This window comes from Homo sapiens, chromosome 8 (assembly GCF_000001405.40).
Source record: "Homo sapiens chromosome 8, GRCh38.p14 Primary Assembly".
NCBI lineage: Eukaryota > Metazoa > Chordata > Mammalia > Primates > Hominidae > Homo > Homo sapiens.
Window position 1 is genome coordinate 118,736,024 of NC_000008.11, and position 23,006 is coordinate 118,759,029.

General features: G+C 38.2%; 1 long non-coding RNA gene across 1 annotated transcript, besides 1 other annotated feature; it reads right to left on the reverse strand.

The window, feature by feature from the left end:
- Positions 1,880 to 2,393: an enhancer, noted in NCBI's record as "OCT4-NANOG hESC enhancer chr8:119750142-119750655 (GRCh37/hg19 assembly coordinates)". NCBI's record gives its function as "activates a minimal SCP1, AML or CMV promoter by ChIP-STARR-seq in primed H9 embryonic stem cells {active_cell/tissue: H9 hESC(primed)}" and the evidence as "EXISTENCE:reporter gene assay evidence [ECO:0000049][PMID:30033119]".
- Positions 17,576 to 22,584, reverse strand: LOC124902007 (uncharacterized). Its single transcript, XR_007061074.1, has 2 exons — positions 22,500 to 22,584; positions 17,576 to 17,905 (listed from the first exon to the last, which is right to left on the reverse strand). It is a non-coding gene; the product is annotated as an uncharacterized LOC124902007 (long non-coding RNA).
- Positions 22,585 to 23,006: the final 422 nt, after the last annotated feature.

A 23,006-nucleotide genomic window follows, 5' to 3' on the forward strand; every position in this document is an offset into this window, starting at 1 on the left:
TGTTTAAGATGGTGCCCATTTCATCAACCTGGGAGCCTGGATGACTAAAATGAGCTTGAGATGAAACCTCTGTCACTTGTAATGGATATATAACACAGAAGATAAATAAGTCTTTGATATTTAAAGCCAGTAGGCTGTTACACATTGAAGTGAGAGCTAGAGTAAGTATTGTGAATAGAAAATAGGAAAAATTGGTCAAAATAGCAGTGGAACTCTGGAAGGGATAAATTATCTGAAGTTGAATTCAACTGATCTCATGTTTGTCAACAACCTGCATGGCACTAGATGATGACATCAAATAAGCTTGGAAATCTTTGTGAAACAGCCAATTTGTAGAGCCCTGGATGAAATGTTTTCTAAATAAACATCAGTGCACTTTTGTTTGCATAGTGACAAAAGTGCTGACTGTCAATGATGGGGCCCAACAACTTCAGAATAAATTATTCCCGTGTTAAAAGGCTATGCAGACAGCACCTTGATCTGTGGCCAAGATCAGTTGAAGAGAGTCTACTGGATCAGCAGAGTTATGTTTTGATGAGCATTTCTTAATTTCAAGGAGGAATCTAAACAATGGAAAGAAGATAAATAGCTACAGGTAGGATGTTGGCAAAGATATACATGTAATTTCACACAATTCCTATTTCTCATCCTAAAGCCTAGGCTTGACATTTGCCTAACACTTCTCATACTGAGAGATCTGATAGACTTCAAGGCATATGGTGATAAAATCAGGTTATTTTTATATTAAACCCTAGTTTCATTAATATGACCTATTGAAGGAATCACATAAATTATTCTTTCAGGAAGAAATGTAAAAATTATTTTGCATCGCATTCAGTGCTTTAGGTCTAATATACTCTTAGTGATTAATTACTATCAATAATACTAATTAATAGTAATTAATTATGGATATGATTTACTGTAACACCCTTACTAATGGTGTCATTTATAACAACAATAATAATGATAATAATTAATAGCTCCTATATTGATGCCTTTTCTATTCCTGTGTCACTGTAGTAAATGTTATATATGAATTATCTCATTTAGTCCTAAAACACTTTAATTTCTACTTAAAAAAAAAAAGAAATAATTTCTGAAAGTTTAGGGAACCTGCTGCCAGCCCAATTGCTCGCAAGTGGTTGGGCTCATATTTGAAGTTTGGGCTATATGAATCCAAGAACTATGTTCCTAATGTTATGTAAAATACCTCTTTTTTATGGCTAAGATTTAGAATATCAAATTTAATTTAACCTAAACCTTAATTGTATTTAGGCTACCTTTTTACATAAGGGCACCACAAATTAAAATAATTGAGAAAAAATTTAAAAAACAATTTTAATTTCTACTGAGAATATTATTACTGAGAATTTATTTTAAATGAGGCAATTGAGGCCACACGTTTATTACATATTCACATGTTCCTAAATGCAGCTTCAAGGACCCTGAGTGTGTCTGACCAGGGGTAGGCTTATCTGGGAATTTCTGCTTCTTCATGTATCTCTCTGGATTTACAGATAATGATTTAGCAGGCAGGCAAACGGCTTTCTTGTACTACCTCTGGGCAACTATGAGACCTGAGACAAGTTTCCACACCTTCCTGGATTTCATTTTCACTCATTTGTAAAATTCGGGATGGGCTGACTCTGAGGTCATTCCAGTGTTAATATTCTCTTGTGTCTCTCTTACATCCTGATGTCACAAAACTTCTTTTTAACTGATAGCTGAATCTGTAGATGGACCAGCCAAACATTTTCCTGGGGGTATGTGATGGATTCATAGTATATCAGTTTTGCTAACCTGGAACTGATGGTCCCAGAATTCCCTTCCATATATAGCGCCAGGATGGGTGAACCACAAAAGATGCTCTGAACAAGAGTGAAAAGGTGGAAGTGAAACAGCAGTGACATTCCTTTTATTTTATGTCCAAGAGGTCAGTGTCAGCCAGGCCATGAAATGTTGTTGTCTCTAATGCATGTTGTCTTTTCTTTGCTGGCTTACCTGTGGGCATGTAGAACTCCAGCCCTCTTAGTTTTTCTGACTCATGGGTCAGGTGTAGGTTTAGCTCTGTGACAAAGGGGGCCACTCCTCCTTCATTTCACTCCCATCATCCAAGTGAAAGGCTCAGAGGCAGTGAGAGTCCCATGCAGATTCTCATCCATTCTCACAGGTTCCAGCCCAGCCCTGCAGGGTTCCTTTTGAGCTTGCTTCCATTTCACATTCTTCCATGCCCAACTGCCAGCCCCAGCTGACTTTCCCAGCTGCAGAAGCTATAGCTCAATAGATTCTTTAGCCCACAATCATCTAAGACCAAATACCTATAATAAATCTCTTATTATATAAATCTTCTAGTGGTTCTGCTTCTCTGATCAAACCCTGACTAATATACGTTGCTAAAACAGCTTTGGGGAGAGAATTAGATGGAGAAAATAGCATCTAGCTGAACTCTTGCCAGGAAAATAATGTGTGTGATTGAATAGGATTTTTGTTAAGCTATTTTGGGGGACTGTTTTAATGAGAAAACTGGGGTAACAATTTGTGTTTAACTAAGCTGCCTTTTAAGAAAGGGAGTCTAGTTCAGTTCAGGGCTTCTGTTTTTCATCTGAATGAGGATGCAAGTTAGAGGGTCAGAACTAAATTGGCCAGGGCGCTCCAATGACCTCCTTTCTTTAGGCAGAGCTCCGAATCTTCTCCAAACACATAGTTAAACCTATTTTAGGACTAGTGGCTTAAAGGGCTTTCAAATTATTAGGCTGCCGGAGGCAACTTCATGTCTTGTATCTCTGAAAGCCAGTTGCTATTTCTACTTCACCAATGCCATAAGCTCTGTGATAATTTTTTTAAAATGGCACCTTTTGCAACAATTAACAAAGCAAAATTTCCTCTGTTTTTGGAGTATTAGGATGAGCAGTTTAGCCCTACTCTGCAGTAAACCACTCTCAAACACCTTCTATTATTTCAGACAGATAATATGAATTTCTTTGTCAGCTCATTAAAGTATATTTGGGACTTCTTGTACAATCATTATTTTGTTTCTTGGTTTGAGTAAACCTTCAAAAGTTTCAAATTCCAGGAAAATAATGTAGGAATGGTGAGGCTTAGGCATCCCTAATTGCATGGTGCTGTCTAATTCAATTAGTTATTTTGTCCTGTCACCAACAGAAGTTTTGAAAGATTGTGGAGGAGGAAAATTCACAAATTTAACTTTAATAGCATAGTTAAAATAAACATAATAATGGTGAATCATGATAGAAATTTGGACACTCATTTTTTTGTGTGATTTAAGGAGCTATTCACCCTCAGGTGTGAATGGCAATTAAAGACATATAGAGTAATCTTGCAACACTTTGCAAACATTTATGCATTGGCAGAAATTGTGTTTTGCCTGTAAAAATTTCAGTGACCTCTTTATTCTCTTTCTCAGGTTTTCTAGAGTCCGTGTTTATAATAGACTAACCAGCTCCCTCAGCCTTTCCATCCAATGTGAGCAAAAACATAAAATGAATTGAAAAGCAAGGCAAAGTATGCTGGTAGTACTAGGCCTATCGTTTAGTAATAATAACATATTTTCTTTTTTTCTAGCACTTGGTGCTTTGTGCACATCACTTTTGTATCTGTTGTCTCATGTGACAGTTAATTTTTATGTGTTGACATGGCTAGGCTATGGTGCCCAGTTGTTGGGTCAAAATAGCAATCTAGATGTTTCTGTGAAGGTATTTTTAGATGTCAGTAGACTCTGAGTAAAGCAGATTACCCTTATAATGTGAGTGGCCCTCAGCCAGTCAGTTGAAGGTCTTGAGACCAAAGACAGAGGTCCCTCGAAGAGAAAAGAATTCTGCCTCCAGACTGTCTTCAGCCTTAAGGCTGCACCATCAACTTTTACTGGAATTTCTGGGGTGCCATCCTGCTCTACGGATTTTGGACTTGCCACCCCCCACAATTTGTGAGCCTATCCCTTAAAATAAATCTATCTACAGCTATGCCTTTCATACCTATACACCTATCTCTATCTTCATCTCTCTCTCTCTAAGATTTATCTCCTAGTGGTTCTGTTTCTCTGGAGAAATCTGACTTATACAGGTCACTTAAAAACCACTTCATCAGAAAGATGGGTAAGAGCATGACCTTTTGAGTGAAAAAGTTCTAGGGGTTAAATTCTGGCTTTGCAACTTATCAACTTTCTGATCTCTGAGAATTAAAAAAAACTTTCATAATCCTCACTCTTCAACAGCTGTAAAATAGGAATAATAAAAATAACAATATTTGTTAGACTTTTACTATATGCCAAACAGTGTATTAAATGCCTCACATGCATTATTTCATGTTAACAACAACCCTATTAAACAGTGAGTGTGGCTGGCCATATTGGCATCTTAGGCAGCCACCATTTGCATCTTTGGCAGTCACTCATCTTCTGTAAAGAACTGATCTCTCTCCCACCGACCCCACTTGTGTGCGTGCTCTTGTGTGAAGAGCTGGTGTCAAGGTATCAGCTCCGCTCTCCCATGAGTGACTCAGGCCCCTGCCTTTCAGTGTGCTGGTCTCTCTAGCAGTCATGGGGGTTGGTGGTTTTGCCTGATTTTTCCCAGATCCAAATTCTACCATTTACTTGAGCATTTACCCAAGCTTATTAAATAGATCTCACCATCATCGAAGAAAAAATGGCAAGTAAATCTCACTCACTTTTCTCTGAAGCTGGTTCAGACTGCAGAATTCTCTTAAATTATCCAGTAGACAGGCTCTGATCACATCTGGGATTGAAGATGCTCCAGCTGCTTTTCTCTCTAAGATCAAAGTTATTTTTTGACAACACATGCTGACGAATCCAAACTGACGCCAATAACTGTTTATAGTTTCTCTGGGTGCAAACATAAATATTTTAGATGACTGCATCCATTTGTTATCACTGTGGCAGAACCCACTTCTCTTATTCTAAAGGAACTGAAAATTGTTGGACCTCTCACCTCCTGTGTGTTCAGAAAGCCAAACTTCTTTCTTTTCTGCCAATATTCCAGGACCCTAAGAGGTCTCCGTAGAAAACTTACAAGTATATTCACAAAAGTGAGCATCGTATTGATGCTATGTTGCTTTTTTATTTTCCTAAGTCTACTATGCAGTGTTTCTCCCTACATTCCCCACTTCTATTTTCAATTTTGTATATATAGGACTGGACAATATACCAGAGTTTCTATTCCTAAGTAAGAACCTAATTTCCTAGATGTTGTTTTTAACCCTCAAATTGCTTTTAAAAACCAGATCATAAATAATAGCTATTTTCAAAGTTCTCTTATATGCATTATCTCATTTAATGCACAAAATTTTCCAAGAGAAAATTACTCATAAATTCATTCTTAGAAACGTTATTCCACATACCCCAAGTCAGAGTGCCGAAGAGTGGTGGGGCTGGGTATAATAGAGTTGCATTGCCCACAAGCAGGGCCTGGGAGCATGTACCCACCCTGATGGCTCTTAGCCAATGCCTGCCTGGGCTGGATTATGAAACTCCAGCATGCTTGATTCAGATTGAGATGATTTTGAGGGGTAACTTCCACTCCAGCATGCCCCACTGGGATTGGACTGTATTTTTCCTCATCAAACCTTTTGCTTGAGGTCATGCCCATCCTTGGCTTCTTCCCTACTTTATTTTCCTTCTTTTTGTCCCTTATAAGTTTCCTGGAGATCCCATTCTTAATGAACAATTTGCACACAAATTCTTTCTCAGTATCTGATACTGGTTATCCTCACCTAAGACACCAACCAATAGTGCTTGATATCAGAGCTCAAGCTCTTACACATGATCCAATTTGAGATTCTTCCTAAAAAGGTGCCAATTATTCTTCCTTATAAGAGAAAACCTTAATTATAGGCAAATGTAATTAGATGGATAATGTGCACACACATTCCTTCCTTTACGTGTATTTATTAAGTATTTAATATGAGCCAGATTTAATCTAAGTACTGGTGATACAATGTTAAATGAGATAGCAAAGTCTCTGTTTTCATGGCTTTACATTCCAATACTAGAATATAAGTAAAAAAGTGAAAAAAAAGGAACAAGATAATTGCTGATAGGATCAATGGTATGAAGCAAGTAAAATGGAGTTATGAAATCCAGAAGGGAAAGGACTGATTTTCACAGGGTGCTCAGGAAGGTGTACTGGCCTGAGGCAGTGATATTCTCTGTGACACTGAAATGAAAAGAAGGAGCTGGACGTGCAAGAATATGGTGCCATACAGAGAAATAAGCAAATCTGAACTCCTAAGTGGGAGCAGCCTGGGAGAGTTGGAAGAACAGAGAGAAGGCCAGAGTGCCTGCAGTATATTGAGTTGTGGGAAGGGAGGAAGCTGAGAGAGTGAAGAATAAGTAGAGGCAAGATTATGGAAGGGCTTTGTAAACCATGCTATGGGGTTCAGGTTTTATTCTCTGGGTCATCCCTGGAGGTTTATAGTTTAGAAAGATCATTCCAACTGTGCTGCTGAGAATTGAAGATGAAGAGGCAAAAGTGGATGCTGGGACCATTAAATAGGCTATGGTTGTAGATGATAAAGAAAAATGAAAGTGGGCTGGACTCTTGGACTCCTCTGGCCCCTGTAGATAAAGAGAGGTGGAGATAGTTTTGGATTTTGAGGTAGGGCTGCCAAGACATGGAGACGGATTGGGTTTGGTGAGTGAGAGCGTAGAGCTTGCGAGGATGATTTTGTACAATTGGGGTTCAAGCAACTGAGCAGATGTGTGGCCATTTATAAGATGGGGAAGCTTGGGGGAGAAACAGGATTTGGGGATAAGAAAAATTACATTTGTATAAGTGCAGAAATATAATAGTTATTATATACCCTTGGTTTTATAAAATTTGAAATTTGATTCAGTTCCCATAGGCTTTAATGAAGAAATTTGTGTTGATTAACAGCAGACAGTGCCTTCAGTGTTGACTTTATTGCTTCTACAATGAATAAAGCCCTTTCAAGAAGTTTAGTTTTATTCCGCTATCAGGGTGTTCTCTATGGGAAATTCTTCCTTGTTGTCTATTCACAATTATACAAGGTCCCATTCTTTGACATGGAAATAAGCAGCAACGCCCACTGAAGTCAGCAATAGAAACTTGGCTTCCATTGCCACAAATTGTGCAGGTCCACACATCCTGAAGATAAGACTTGGAAAGAAAGTCAGGACTGAGCAAAAGTGCCTGGCTCTGATTTTAAAGGCGAGCTCATATAAACATCTCTTACGCATGATTCTGATCCTTAAACATTGAGGCATGGCTTTTATAATGAGAAAAAAAGTCTCTCATCCCCTAAATGTCAGTGCTTATGTTTTGGTCACTTGGGTTCCAAAAAAACACAATCTTTTAAAGAGAAAAATGTTACAGACATTGTCAGTATCTTAAGGAAGATCCCTCAACCTGTCATTGGTGTTAGTGTCCACACACAAGTGGCTTCACAAGGTAGGAACTTGTTGCTGGAGTCAGTGAGGTTTGGTTTCTCATTTTATGCTACTGGGTTCTGCTGTGGTCATAAGGGTAGTAGCTGATAATCCCATTTCCTCACTGTGTTGAACACTTGGAAGTCTGCCATAAACCAATTTTCTGTTTTTCTTTAGCTTTTCCAGAGTAAAAGAATTTTTTTTTTTTGGTGTTGAAGATGGACAAGGTTTATAACAAAACTTGTTCTTCATTTCTCCAGAGAAAGCTTTTGTTTTCCAAACAAGTACTTCTTGATTATTTTACCAGGGAGTGCATGGTTACCATCCTGTAATGTCAGCCCCATGCCAGCAGATGGCAGTCACACCACACCACGCTGTGGCAATCAGCTAAGCTTGAGAACACCAGGAATCTGTCCTTTTCACAGAGGAAGGGTCTGATGTGCTCTGTGCCATGGCAGGAGGGGTAACTAGCACGGAGATGAATTCCAGAGAACTCACTACATAAGTCTATAAATTTGTCCCTAAACTTGAAGATATTCTTAGTTGAAAAAGGAAACAAAACAGAGGGAAAAACAAACAAACAAACAAACAAAAACCCAAACCTCTAGCTAAGTCTGTCAAAATGAGCTATGAGGTGGACAACCCAAGGTCTTGAGCTTATGCTGGGCTTTGTTTCACTGATACATGGATCAATATAATCATAGTCAGGGAGCTGGCATGAAAGCAGAATGGCTGAGAAAATAAGACTGGAAACGACTAACTGCAAAAGTATTTTATTTTCAGGAGGATTAACTGCTTCTGGGGTGGCTGAGTGTGGTAGAGGAAAAACAGAAGAAACTCCAAGGTGAAATTAGAAATCTTAGAAGAGCTCTTCTTTCTCCCATAGAGGTAACACAGTATTTCCAAGAAATTATTGATAGTAGGAATAAGGATTTCCCCCAGACGGAAAGGAGACATTGATGTACTGCGGGCATCCCAACTTCTACCTCATCATGCGTTTCTGAGTTTCTTCCACCATGACCCTGATGGTTTTGGTTACTCTCTCCTTCCCACTAGTTACGTGGTTGCTCTGCTTTTAGTTGAAGTTGTGCTGACTTTGGGATAGGTGTAGGGTTAAATGGTATCAAGAGGACATTCCTATTTATTGACCTACAATGTGGTTTCTGTACCTGAGCAAAAGACATATTTTTTCTCTATATTTGAGTTGGTCTTTTGAGACCGGCAAAGCTGTGGAAACAAAGCTTTGCTTAAGGAAAATGGCCACAATCTATTGTTAGAAAGAAGCCTCAAGTACCATGAAAATGGACCACACAGGTCAGGGATTTCTCAAAATGTTTCTTTTCCCAGGAAAATATTGAAACTAGGACTATTGTGGAATTACACAGTTTATGATTGCCACTTATGAACTACACCGGAATCAGGCTTGAAGGGTTCTGAACCATAAGAAACTTCCTCTGGAAATGAATGTGGTAGCTGAGTCCACATGTGTGGGAGGCCAACTGCATAGCTGGGAGTTGTCACAATTAACTTCTGCAGATAATTCCATGTTTATTAAATAAGTGATTTAAGTGTGACACTATTGTATGTGCAATGTCTCTTTTCTATCTGGTGGAAATTCTTATTCTTACTATAAAGAATTCCTTTGGAAATACTGTGTCATTACACAGTTTATGATCAATGGGTTATCATAAACTGTATAACTATCTGCAGCTATTTACAGATAGTTGCTATCTGCAGAGCTATCTGCAAAACTGTGATGTAAAACCATAAAGGCATTCGCAGCTTATTGTTCCTATTGCCCTTTCTATGTTTGTTGAAGGTTGAGGGTTTGCTTATTTTCCATCCTAGTAATTGGATAGTTATATGATCATCCATCCATATTTGAGTAGAGGTCGGATACATATGTCCTCAGTGTTCCAGCCAAGGTCTGGACAGTGGAAACAGTCCATTTGGGGTGCAGACAATGAGGGGGTACATTACCCATACATAACTTAAATACGCAATAAAATTGACTAAAATTTAATCTGCTTTTAAATAGTCACCATGCTCAGAAATTCTTAAGTACCATTAATGAAAAGATCTTTTTCTGGTCTAATTTGCAAACATTTGCTGTGATTGCAGCTGTGTTTCAATAATATATATGCGTGCTTCAAATTAGCACATTTAAATCACTTATTTAATAAACATTGAATTCTCTGTGGAAGTTAATTGTGACAACTCCCAGCTATGCAATTGGCCTCCCACACATGTGGACTCAGCTACCACATTCATTTCCAGAGGAAGTTTCTTATGGTTCAGAATCCTTCAATCTTAATTCTGGTACAGTTCATATTTTCAACCCCCATGATACTGTATATTCCTGTATTTAGACAATGCATTGGAGATAAACAAAGATAGCTATAGTAATTTTTCTTATCTGAATTATATTTTGTTTCTGGTTTGAAGTTGTGGGCAAAGTTAACCAGACACAAAAATGTTTGCAGACAGCCAGAAATGGTTTAATGATGTACCAGAAACAAGCTTCAAGCTTGTTGCTGGAAGACGGGTGCATAGAAATAGTGAAAAGGCTATCAACTATGAAAAATGTAAGGAATTGGACATTACATGGGAAAAAAATCAGATCAGAAAAAATTGCCCATAGAAATAACAAAGATGCCACTTTCACATTGTCAGAAGAAATCAGAAGTCAATGTCTGAATGTCCTGATCATTTTCACCAAGATTTGGACATTAGTTCTAAAGCAGAAGGAAGACTTAGAGAAGTTTTTACTAGATGTAATAGAAGTTTATGATGAATTTCTGCTGAAAGTATTTTAGGGGAATTTTTTTGACTGTCAAAATATTTGAAAGGGACTAGAATGATACCAAAAAAACAAAGATATGAGAAGTATGTGATTTCTGGAATTTATTATGAAACGGAATTTTTATGAAAAGTTGCCAGGATTAGACTTAGGTTAAGAATTTTCTTAGCTGTTTGTATCTCTGCTGTTTCATGTGAAAGAAATTTCATGAGATTAAAATTAATAAAACATGTTCTTTCATCAACTACCAGGGAATAGATGGACAAAAAAGCATTTATTGTCTATTGAACATGAATATGTGAAGAAAATTAATTTTGACAAAGTTTCTGAAAGATTTGTATATAGTTAAGGCTGGAAACAGAAACCAGACTCACACAGTGGCTTGCGCCTGTAATCTCAGCACTTTGGGAGGCCGAGGTGGGAGGATTGCTTGAGGCCAGTACTTTGAAACCAGCCTGGGCAACAAAGTGAGACCGTATCACCATAAAACATTTAAAAAATTACTCAGACATGGTGGCACGAGACTGTAGTCCTAGCTCCTTGGGAGGTGAGGCAGAATTGCTTGAGCCCAGGGGTTTGAGGCTGCAGCAGTGAGCAAGCATTGTACCGCTGTACTCTGTACTCCAGCCTGGATGATAGAGTAATACTCTCCCTCTCTCTCTCAAAAGAAAAAAAAAAAAAGAAAGAAAGAAGGAGAAAATAATAGAAACTGCAATTTTATTGTTTACTATTATAATGGACCAATATTTAGGTATATTTTCCCCTTTAAAAAACACAGCATTGCAATTAACACAATTAATTTATTACTTTTTATATTCTTATTTTATTTTTATTTAAAAGTACATTAAGGCATTATATTTTTATTTAAAAATAAATTAAGTTGTATAAAAGAAAAAATACTACCCTGCTTCTATTATATGACCAGGTTTTCTTGCGATATGTGTTACATGAAATACTCTTTTCCTATCAAAAAATGGGGTATTAAAATGATTCTCCAGATGCCAGTTATGCTAGGTAAAGTATTCCAGTCTTTCACCGTATTGATTGATCATACTGGGCTAGGCTATTCTATAGTAACAATTAAACTCTGACATCTCAGTGGTTTAACCCAATTAAAATTTGTGGCTTCCCAGCACAGTCAAATATGGAAGCTCCTGATTGGATGGCAATCCTGGGTGGTTGTCTGCAAGTAGAAGCTCAAGGGCTCACCATGTTGAGCCTCTGCCATGTTGTCACTTCAAAGTGACAACTAACGCATACAGAAGGAAAAATGAGAGACGAGAAAATGTTGAAGATCAGACAAAATATTTTATGGACTGGCCTGAAAATAGCATGCATCACTCTTGTTTACATTCAGTTGGTCAGATCCAGCCATATGGTACTAACTGAACTGCAAAGAGGGCTGGAAAATCTATTCTTCCTGAGTGTAGAGGAGGAGGAAACAGGATTGGGCAGCATCTAGCCAGTTCTGTCACTCCATCTGTGTTCAACCTACTGTCTTTGCATTTGTATGCCATTGCCATAGCTCATTAAATGGTGTCTGCAGTCTCCTTGTTACCAACTGTATAATAGAGTACTACTAAACAGTCAGTGGTTTTCATATCAAGCAAGCGAACTCCTTTTTTTTCCACATAAAATATTCTCCATAAACTAATGCATTAAAAATTGATAAATACTTTGCTGTTCTGGTTGGAGGAGGAATGAACATTCAGAAACATTTCATTGATCTTTTCATTAACTCACACACACTTCCCCCTCCCTTCCCATCCCAGCCATTCCTGGAATCCTCAGCTACTTTTCTGTAATTCCTGGGTTCTGATGAACAGAAGTTGAAAACCATTGCAATGGGCAGAGTTGGGCCATGGAAGCTTTTTGAACAGGGAATGTTGTTTAGAAAGATCCAAGTTTAAGCTGCCTCCCCCTGCCCAATACTCTTCAACTTCAAATTATTCAGCTCTACTCAATGCTCCCTGAAAGACTCCTACCCATTTAAACCTTTATATTCATAAAATACAGGCTTTTAATATTGTTCTTAATATTGAACTTGTTTTTATTCACTCAACACTGAGTGCCAGGCATCAGGAAAACTATGATAGGAACTCTGGCCTCAAAGGAAATAATTTTCATAATACAAAATTAAATTAAAATATTTAAATATAAAGTTGAGTATACAATGTGATCTTTATAATGTAGAAAGAACCACTTTCTCTAAATCTAAAGGTATACGTTGAGTCTTCTGTTTATTCATCCTAACCCATTAGGTGGGCTCAAGTCCCACCAAAAGTAATGAAGCCAAAAGGCTGCCTCAATTGCTGGGAGCCCAAGCCAATCTGCAAAAACCACCATACCAGGGGACAGAGCTTCCTACCAGTTTTGAGGTTTCCTTCCATGCAACAGAGGCCACTTGGAACAGCAGGCATGCCAACAAGAGTGTTAGCATGTTTAGTTTATCTGTGCAGGCAGGCTTCTACAATGAGCATGCAGGCTTGAATTCTCTTTTGTATAACCCAAGACTAAAGTCCTGTGTGCTTACACTTGTGAATTCTCCATTACCTCTCTCAAACCTCTCCACTAGGCAGAGAGTACAGTCTATTCCACCCAATTTACTGCTCACTTCATTTGCATGGGGCTTTTTCCTTGTAATATTATTGACAGGAGGCAGAGGTTTATAACCGTGGTGCTAGTTTTGCACAGCAAACATATGATCACCTTTTTAGAGACCTTTGCCCTGTTTGACTCTGACCAAACCCTTCCTATTTTAACATATTTTTGTGATTCTAGGAATGTGAATATAGTTCTCCAAATAATTTAGACACATCACAGCTAAACTATTTCCAACTTGGCACTTTTATCAACTTGAAATTATTTTCAACTGCAACAAGTCTGAAATTGCTAATTCAATCAGTATACATACTTGCAATAACTTAACACACACAGTATACCAACTGTCTTCACTGTTGTCAGAACAAAGTATAGGCAGAACATCCTGGTGTCAACATGAATTTTACCACATGCTTTCTTTCTATGTAAGATTAAATAATATTTTTTCTTTATTTTGTTAATGTGGTGAATAACATTGACTGATTCCAAAATATTAACCTTTCATTCCTAGAATAAACCCAACTTTGTTGAGCTGTTTAATCTTTATAGATCATATATCTTTTGTACTACTTCAAAAGAGAAATTGGCCAGAATTTTTTTTCTTATAATGTTCTGTCTGGCCTATTATAAAGTTTATGCTGGTTGCATAAAATGAATCGGAAATCATTTGCTTTCTTTTTAAAATGGTTGATATAGTTCTCAGTGATTCCCTCTAGACCTGGAATATTTTTAGTTTAGTTTGAAAAGATTTTTAATTATGGTTTCAATATCTTTAACAATATAAAATTATTCTGATCTATATCGGATAAACAATATTTGTGACAAATTATTTATTGTTTATCTGAAATTCAAATTTAACTGCATTTCCTATATTTAACTGGCAGCTGCATAATGTCATCATTATATTTCATATGTCTGAAAGAGTAATGGTTGTCCCTTTTTCTCCCTATTGCAGTTATTTGTGCCATTTCTCTCTTTTTTCTTGATTAGTCTCACTAGAGGCTCATCAGTTTAATTAGTCTTTACAAAGAACTAACTTTTGGTGTGTCCATTGTCTTCACTGTATGTTTTCCCATTAATTTCTATTTCATTTTTTCCCTTTTTTCATGTGTAGCATTTAGTTTGCACATCTAACTTCTTGAATGGATAATATGATCTTTGATTCTCACATTTTTTTCTTTTTAAATGTATGAATATAAATTTCTCTTTAAGCATGGTGATATGGTTTCACTGTGTCCCCACCAAAATCTCATCTTGAATTGTAGTTCCCATAATCCCCACATGCCATGGGAGGGACCATGGGGATACTGAATCATGGCGGTGGTTTCTCCCTTCCTGTTCTCACGATGGTGAGTGAGTTCTCATGAGATCTGATGGTTTTATACGGGGCTTTTCCCTTCACTTGGCTCTCATTCTCTCTCCTGCCACCCTGTGAAGAGCTGCCTTCCACTCTGATTGTAAGTGTCCTGAGGCCTCCCCAGCCATGCGGAAATGTGAGTCAATTAAACCTCTTTTCTTTAAAAATTACCCAGTCCTGGGCAGTTCTTTATAGCAGCATGAGAACAGACTAATACAGTAAGTTGGTACTGCAGAGAGTGGGGTCCTGCTATGAAGATATCCAAAAATGTGGAAGTAACTTTGGAACTGGATAACACGCAGAGGTTGGAACGTTTTGGAGGGCTCAGAAGAACACAGGAAAATGTGGGAAAGTTTGGAGCTTCCTAGAGACTTGGAGGGCTCAGAAGACAGGAAGATGTGGGAAAGTTTCAAACTTCTGAGAGACTTGTGGAATGGCTTTGACCAAAATGCAGATAATGATATGGACAATGAAGTCCAGGCTGAGGTGGTTTCAGATGGAGATGAGGAACTTGTTAGGGACTGGAGTAAAGGTGACTCTTGCTGTGCTTTAGCAAAAAGACTGGTAGCTTTTTGCCTCTGCCATAGAGATCTGTGGAGCTTTGAACTTGGGAGAGATGATATGGGGTATCTGGCCAAAGAAATACTTAAGTGCCAAAGTGTTCAAGAAGAAGCAGAGCATAAAAGTTTGGAAAATTTGCAGCCTGGAGATGCAATAGAAAAGAAAAACCCATTTTTCTGGGAAGAAATTCAAGCAGGCTGCAGAAATTTGCATAAGTAATGAGGACCTGAATGTTAATCAGCAAGACAATAGAGAAAACGCCCCCAGGGCATGTCAGAGACCTTCAAGGCAGTTCCTCCCACCACAGGTTTGGAGGCCTAGGAGGGAAATTAGTTTCTGGGGCCAGGTCCAGGGCCCTTTGCTCTGTGAAGCCATGGGACTGCATCCCATCTGCTCTAGCCATGGCTAAAAGGGGCCAAGGTATAGCTTAAGACATTGTTTCAGAGGGTGCAAGCCCCAAGCTATGGCAGCTTCCATGTGGTATTGGGCCTGCAGGTATGCAGAAGATAAGAATTGAGGTTTGGCAACTTCCACTTAGATTTCAGAGAATGTATGGAAATGCTAAATATCTAGGCAGAGGTGTGCTGCAGAGGTGGAGCCCTTATGGGGAACCTCTGCTAGGGCAGTGCAGAAGGGAAATGTGGGGTTGGAGCCCACACACAGAGTCCCCACTGGGCACTACCTAGTAGAGCTGTGAGAAGAAGGCCAGCATCCTTCAGACCCCAGAATGGTAGATACACTGACAGTTTGCATGACATGCCTGGAACAGCTGCAGACACTCAATGCCAGCTCGTAAAAGCAGCCAGGAGTGCGGCTGTACTCTGCAAAGTCACAAGGATGGAGCTGCCCAAGGCTGTGAGAGCCCACCTCTTGCATCAGTGTGACCTAGGTGTGAGACATGGAGTCAAAGGAATTCATTCTGGAAACTTAATGTTTAATGGCTGCCCTATTGGATTTCAGACTTGCATGGGGCATGTAGCCCCTTTATTTTGGCCAATTTCTTCCATTTGGAATGGATGTATTTGCCCAATGCCTGTACCTCTACTTTATCTGGGAAGTAATTAACTTGCTTTTGATTTTACAGGCTCATAGGCAAAAGGGACTTGCCTTGTCTCAGATGAGACTTTGGACTTGGACTTTTGGTTTAGTGCTGGAATGAGCTAAGACTTTGAGGGACTGTTGGAAAGGCATGATTGTGTTTTGAAATGTAAGGACATGAGATTCTGGAGGGGCCAGTGGCAGAATTATATGGTTTGGCTGTGTCCTCACCCAAATCTCATCTTGAATTGTAGTTCCCATAGTCCTCACATGTTGTGGGAGGGGTCAGGTGAAGATAATTGAATCATGGGGGCAGCTTTCCCCATACTGTTCTTGTGATAGTGGGTTCTCCTGAGAATTATGGTTTTATAAAGGGCTTCCCCCTTTGCTCGGATATCAACTCTCTCCTGTCACCCTGTGAAGAGGTGCCTTCTGCCATCATTGTAAATTTCCTGAGGCTTCCTCAGCCATGTGGAACTGTGAGTCAATTAGAACTCTTTCCTTTGTAAATTATCCAGTCTCTGGTATGTCTTTATTAGCAGCATGAGAACAGACTAATACATACGGTTTTGACTTGTTCATGGAGAGTCATGCTCACGGACTTGGATTTTATTTTGTAGGTGATAAGGAGCCATTAATTGTATGGTGAGGAATGATATATTTCTTTATATTTGCTTTTTTGTGAAACATGCAATTTGCTGTGTTATGAAAACAGTAATTTGGGGAGTGCTATGATGTGAATGTTTGTGTCCCCTGAAAATTCATATATTGAAATCCTAACTCCCAAGATGATGGTAGTAGGAAATGAGGCTTTTGGGAGGTAGTTAGGTAATGAGGATGGAGCCCTCATTAATAGGATCAGTGCCCTTATAAAAAGAGGCCTCAGAGAAATGCCTCACCATTTTCACCATACCAAGGCATAGTAAGAAGGCAGTATCTATGACCCAGATACTGAATCTGCTGGTGCCTTGATCTTGGACTTCTCAGGCTCCAGAGTCATGTGAAATAAATTTCTGTTGTTTAAGCCACTCAGTTTATATTTTTGTAATAGCAGCCTAAATTGACTAAGACAGGGAGGCAGGAAGACTAGAAGTAGAAGAGCTCTTGGTTGATGACAGAATATTGGGGGGCAGCATTTAGGCAATGGGCAGTCAAAGGACACCGTCATTATTGTTAGAGAAAGGGATAAAGAAGAAGAGACCTATAGTTCATAGAGTTGAGGCATCAGAGGCTGGGTGAACAAAGCTTTTTCAAGTTCCACATTTATACTTGTGTTTCTATTTAAGGTATTTCAGGAGGTTTTTTAATGTCAGAATTAATAGCAAACCTCTAAAACAAAGAATACTTTTAAAAACTGTTTTATACATGGCTACACAGCATGCCAATCCTTTGGCTTCCAAGGCATAGCTAAGCTCCACCAGTGACCCTTAGGCCAAAGATTTCATTGACACAGATCCTCAAGGATAGGGCTCAACCCTCAAACACTGGCCATTCTGAATTTTCCTGGATTGACACATCAGTGTAAGCCATGGATTTGAAACCACTTCAATCCCAGGCCTATCCCTTTGTCTTTTAAAAGTTCTGACATAGTGAAGTAGATGCTATCTAAAAGGTTTCCAGCAACTTGGAGAAAGATAGCTTAAAAGTAAAAGTCAGTTTTCATTTCAGATATAGATAATGAGGATCAAAATGTCTTACTATTTTAAGAGAGAACAGTTGGATTTAACTCATAACATGTCAAATTCTGTATTCTTTTTTCACTGAAAGAAAAAAAAATTGGCCAGGAATAAAACTTTAGTGGTTTGTTCATAGATAAGGTGCTCCATCTTTATTTGAAGTAGAGTAAAAAATGTTTTTCCACACAAAGCGAATGATGACTAGACGTGCTCTTTTTGAATGGCCATCTTTAGAAGTTAGCAAAGTTTGAGATATCAAGAGAAATAGAATCAAGTGTTTCTTTAAGAATAAACTGAGTTTTATAAACAGGTCATTGTCCTACCAATTTCCAGTGTTCTTAAAGTCCTGCTGCTGTTTCTTTCCTGGCATATTGGGAAGAAGCCCAGGGCTTGTTTCCTTTTACTCTTTTGTTCTTTAGACTCACCATGTTCAGGGCTGTTCAGTGATATACCTGTGGGAAGGGAAAAATGTCTTCTTCAAAGGAGTCAATTATTTTGTTGCTACAAATTTGTGTGTTATGGGTAGATATTAGCCGATTTCTTATAAAATTTGAAAACTTATTTGAAATTCCCACCAGTATGCTAATTTACAGGAAGTTGACATCTCTGAAAATCTGTGCCCCGCTCCTCCCCCATCCCCCAAAAACACGCTATTACAACCATATAACATGATCTTATCCACACTATGTGATATATTATGGTTAAAGTTTTAAAGACAGGGATAATTTCATTATACTTAGTGCTAAGATGTCAGTTTAGGTATGATCATACAGTAAAGAAATATATTCTTTCCATGTTCTTATTCACTTGGAAATCCTTATTTTTTTTAATCAACACAAACAAATAAAAAATAAGCCTGTATTCCATTTGACTTGGCTGGGTACAGTGCTTACACCTGTAATCCCAAAGCTTTGGGAAGCCAATGCGGGAGGACTGCTTGAGGCCAGGATTTCAAGACCAACCTGGGCAACAAAGTGAGACCCAACTTTAGAAAGAAAAATAATTTTAAAATTGGACTTACTATCTTTGTTTTCATTGTAAATTGTCTTGCTAATGACCTAGTAGAGAAAGTCAAATGAGGAATAGAATTACTAACCTGCCTATGGTAGTGTCAATGTACTGATTTACTTTTCCTTTTTTTCAATCTGTTTATCTTTCTGCACATGGTGGCTGGGGATGAAACCTTAGAGATTTGTTCACAAATAAGCCATCCTGATTGTTGGGGAGGATACGCACCTGTCTATCCATTTATCTAAAATGTATCAATGTTTGGATGGAAACAGAGACGAATAAGATGAAATACCTAACGTCATGAAGTCCCTGAGAAGTTAAGAGTTAGAAAATCATGTCTTATGTGCTAATGATGCAGCCATGTATGAAATGTAGTAGGTTCAATGGGAATTGAGTAGGAGACGAAAGGCAGAGGGAAATGATGAGAGTTCGAACCAGGGTACTAGCAGTGGTGATGAAGACAGAGAGGCAGATTAAAGTGCTTTTTGGGGAGGAAAATCCCAGAAGCTTAGAGAGTTTGGTTTTGAGTCCTGGAACTACAACTTTATAGCTTACTAGTTGGGTTATTCATAAAAGGCAAGTTTTAAATTCTCTGAATCTCAGTTTTCTCGTTTGTAAACTGGGATTGTAGTATCTAAATCATAGAGCTTCTGTGTGCGTTAAATGAGTTAATTTGTGAAAATTTCTCAGTATCTGGTGTTTCAAACATAGTCATTCAATCCACATTGGTTATTATAATTACTATCAGTACTGGGTGAGCAGTCACACAGTGCAGTTGAAAATACAAGGAGTTTTAGGTCAGATCGAATTTCATTTCAATCCCATATTGCCTTGTACTATCTGTCCGACTTGGGTCAAGTTATTGAGTACCTCTAAGACTCAGCTTTATCCCCTGTGAAGTGGGAATTATAGCCACTAATTTGTGGGACACTTTTTAATGAAACGAATCAAAGTATAAAAATAATATGGCCCCACATCAAAATCCAATAAATAACTGCTATTATTTGGAGTTGAGAGAGAAGGAGATATTTAGGATGATGTTTTTAGATTTGTAAGATGAGTAGTAGCTGGATAGTCATGATATACAGAGTATGAAGGAAAAATAGGCTTGTTTAAAGGAAAAAAGTGAATTTTATTTTAATCATAGATAGATATATCTGGTCCTTTGGCTAGGTAGTTGGAGATAAAGATATGGTTATCAGAAAGGATTCAGGCCTGGAGTTTTAGCTTTGTGTATTGGCAGCCTATATATTGTATTTGATTTCATGGATATGGATTGGGTTTTCCATAGACGGGTAAAGGATTCAAATTTCGTATCCTGGAGAAGACCAGCCTTTAAGGGGATAATAGAGAAGAAGAAAGGGGGAATGAAGGAAAGCCGGGCAAGAGGGTTAATATGCATGATGAGACACGTGAGAGTTGTATTCATGAAGACTTACAGTGGCCAAATATCAAAGGGGAGAAAACTGAAGACAGTGTTCATTAGATCTGGCCATATAGAGGCCACCTGGCAACTTTCACCTTAGCAGTTTCTATGGAGCACTGTGGGTGAGAAGAAGGGGAATGAGAAGAGAAAGGGAGCAGAAAGATGAGGATGTGGGCAGAAGGGGCCAAATTCAAATATAACTCCTAACAGGGCATCCCATCAATGCATGTATGTGGCTAGGACCAACTGGACATTCTAGGAATATAGGAAGTTTGTGCATGTTGGTGGTGCAGTGCATGGCGATATCAAGGGAATTGGACTTAGCACGTGGAAGAATGTGTGGTTCATTGCAAGCACTCAATCAATATTAACTCCTGTTACTACTTCCATCATTGTTATTAACTATACACTCTACTGCCTCTCATGTGTACTCTGAGCTACTTCAGGGAACAAATGGCCATACAGATTGACAATGGGTAGGAAAAATAAAGAAACTGGACAAATTATCCATATACAGACATTAAATTAGAGCAATCTGCTTGTTTTGCAATTTGCTGCTAATAACAACATTCTCCCTCTTTCCATACCCATTCTAAAGGCTGCATTCATGTTTCCTAGAATGTCTACCTCCTCTATCTTTATGCTCCCAGAAGGGTCGTTGTCAGTATTTTCAACCAGGTTTAACACATACAAAAATCTTAGTATACATCTTTAAAGGTGGCCCTCAAGTAACTGTTTTCATTCCTTCCACCTCAGGCCCCTAGTTTTAAGGGTCTCTCTATAGTAGACACAAGCCCCCATACACACAAACATACCCCATTTCTATGCTTATAACAAATAATATGTTTACCATTTTAAAAATCATATTATAAATATGCTAAGGATATGGACACTTTGAGATGTTGTTAATGAGAGAGGGAATTACTCTAACCAACTTTCTTTAGGAAATGTACATTTTCTTTGACCTGGGCAATCCCAATTTGGGAAATACATCCTACAGTTTAAAAAGCAATTAAATGCAAAGCTATACTCAGTGATATTTCCTGTATTGTTATTTATAGTGGCACTAGAAACAGCCTGAATATCTCTTATTAGAGAGAAGCTTGACTAAACTATAGAACTCTATAATATAGGATATAATGACCAGAGAGATATCCATGATATGTTATTAAGAACAAAAGCAAGCAAAAGATTCATAGGTATAAAATGATCCCATGTCTGAAGTACAATAATATATGTTATTTACACATGTGCGTATCTTTGTGTGAACATATGTACTTATTTTGGATATAATTTTTTGGATCATAGAGAACAAGGTAGAAGAATACATACCAAATTGTTAACGTTGGTTAATCAGAGTTGATGGAGTAGAAATGGGGTAGAGTGAGATTGTTAACCTTTTCTTCAGTATTCTTATACTTAATTATTAAAACAAGCTTGCATTTCTTTTTAAATTAAAAATAAACCCTATAAGTAATAGGACATATAGAGCTTTTACTACCATCTAATGAAATTATAAACCATCTATTTGAAACAAGTAATTTAAGGGACACAGTGAGAAATGAAATGGTAATTATCAAGAGTTGGAAGAATAAACTTAACTTTGGAGGTCAAGGAAGCCAGCAGTGATTGGTCTCTTACGAGATTTGAGGAACCCATCTTGCTGTCTTTAAATGCAGCCACTCCTAGAGAGGGTCTTCTATACACATGTGCTTTTGAATTTGATTACTATGAGGTGAAGTATTAGGAAGCTCACAAATTTGCAGGGATTAGTTTAGTAATTTTAGTGTTCATTAACCACCCAAAAGCACAAGACTTGAAGGAAGAGTATTCAGATAGTTTAAATGTTGATAGGGCAGTAGTCATAGATAAAGGGTACTGGAAAGGTTCCCAGTTTACAGCAAGGCTCTGTTCTGCTGGAATTCTTCTTTAGAGGGTGGACTGAAGAAGGTATTGGAAGGTCATGGCAGCTCTCAGCAAAGGACAGGGGAAAAAATGGAAAAGAATAATAGAGATCTCAAAACCCCAAAAACTTAAGTGAGGTCATCCAGCTTAGGGAATGAGAATTCATGGAAAGGAAGAAGAGAGAGGGTAACAGGGGTAGAGGAAAGGGAAGTTGGTACTGTTTGTGCTTGGGCAGCCAAATCAGTGAGAAACTATAGACAGGTGATAGATGAGCAGGGAAGAAGATGAATTCCAGGAGACAGGAGAAAGATAAAGGGGCGTGGGAGGCCATCCAAAACAAAGAGGCCCAATTTGAAGCTTGCTTGGCATTGGCTTGCTTGTATTTAGTCTCATCCACCAACCAAGTGAATTCCTATGGGCAACTTATAAAGTGAGAAGGTATAAATTCACATCTTGCATTTACATAATCATCCTTCATAACCAAGATGTCTTAAGAATCAAAAAGGTTTATTTATCTGGTGTGTGCATTATGGCTTTGAATGATACACAATATATAATACATATAACATAAAATATGTGTTAATCAAACTGTTTATGTTATCAATAAGGCTACCAGTCATCACTAGGCTATTATTAGTTAAGTTTTTGGGGAGTCAAAAGTTTTATATGGATTTTCAACTGCACAAGGCGTTGACATCACTAACCTCTTGCATTGTTCAAGGGTCAAGTGTATTTGGATCTCTGCCTCTGAGATGTTTCATTCTTCTTTGCCAAAATAGGGCTGCTTCTGTGAAGGAAAAGAAATACTGCTCACCAAAAATTCATAGAAAAAATAAGGCTGGGTACAGTGGCTCTCACCTGTAATTCCAGCACTTCGGGAGGCTGAGGCAGGTGGATTGCATGAGACCAAGAGGCTAGGATGGGCAACATAGTAAGACCCCATCTCTAAAAAAAAAAATTAAATTAAATTAAAAAAATAGCCAGATGTGGTGGTGCTTGCCTGTAGTCCCAGTTACTCAGGAGACTGAGGCAAGAGCATTGCTTGAGCTTTGCAGTTTGAGGCTGTAGTGAGCTATGACTGCACTACTACACTCTAGCCTGGGCAACAGAGGAAGACTCTGTTTCTTAAAAAAATAGGAAACATATAAGGGTCACAGTGTTGTAAGAAGGATAAAAGAACAACAGAAGGACAGGAAAAACTTAGTTTTGAT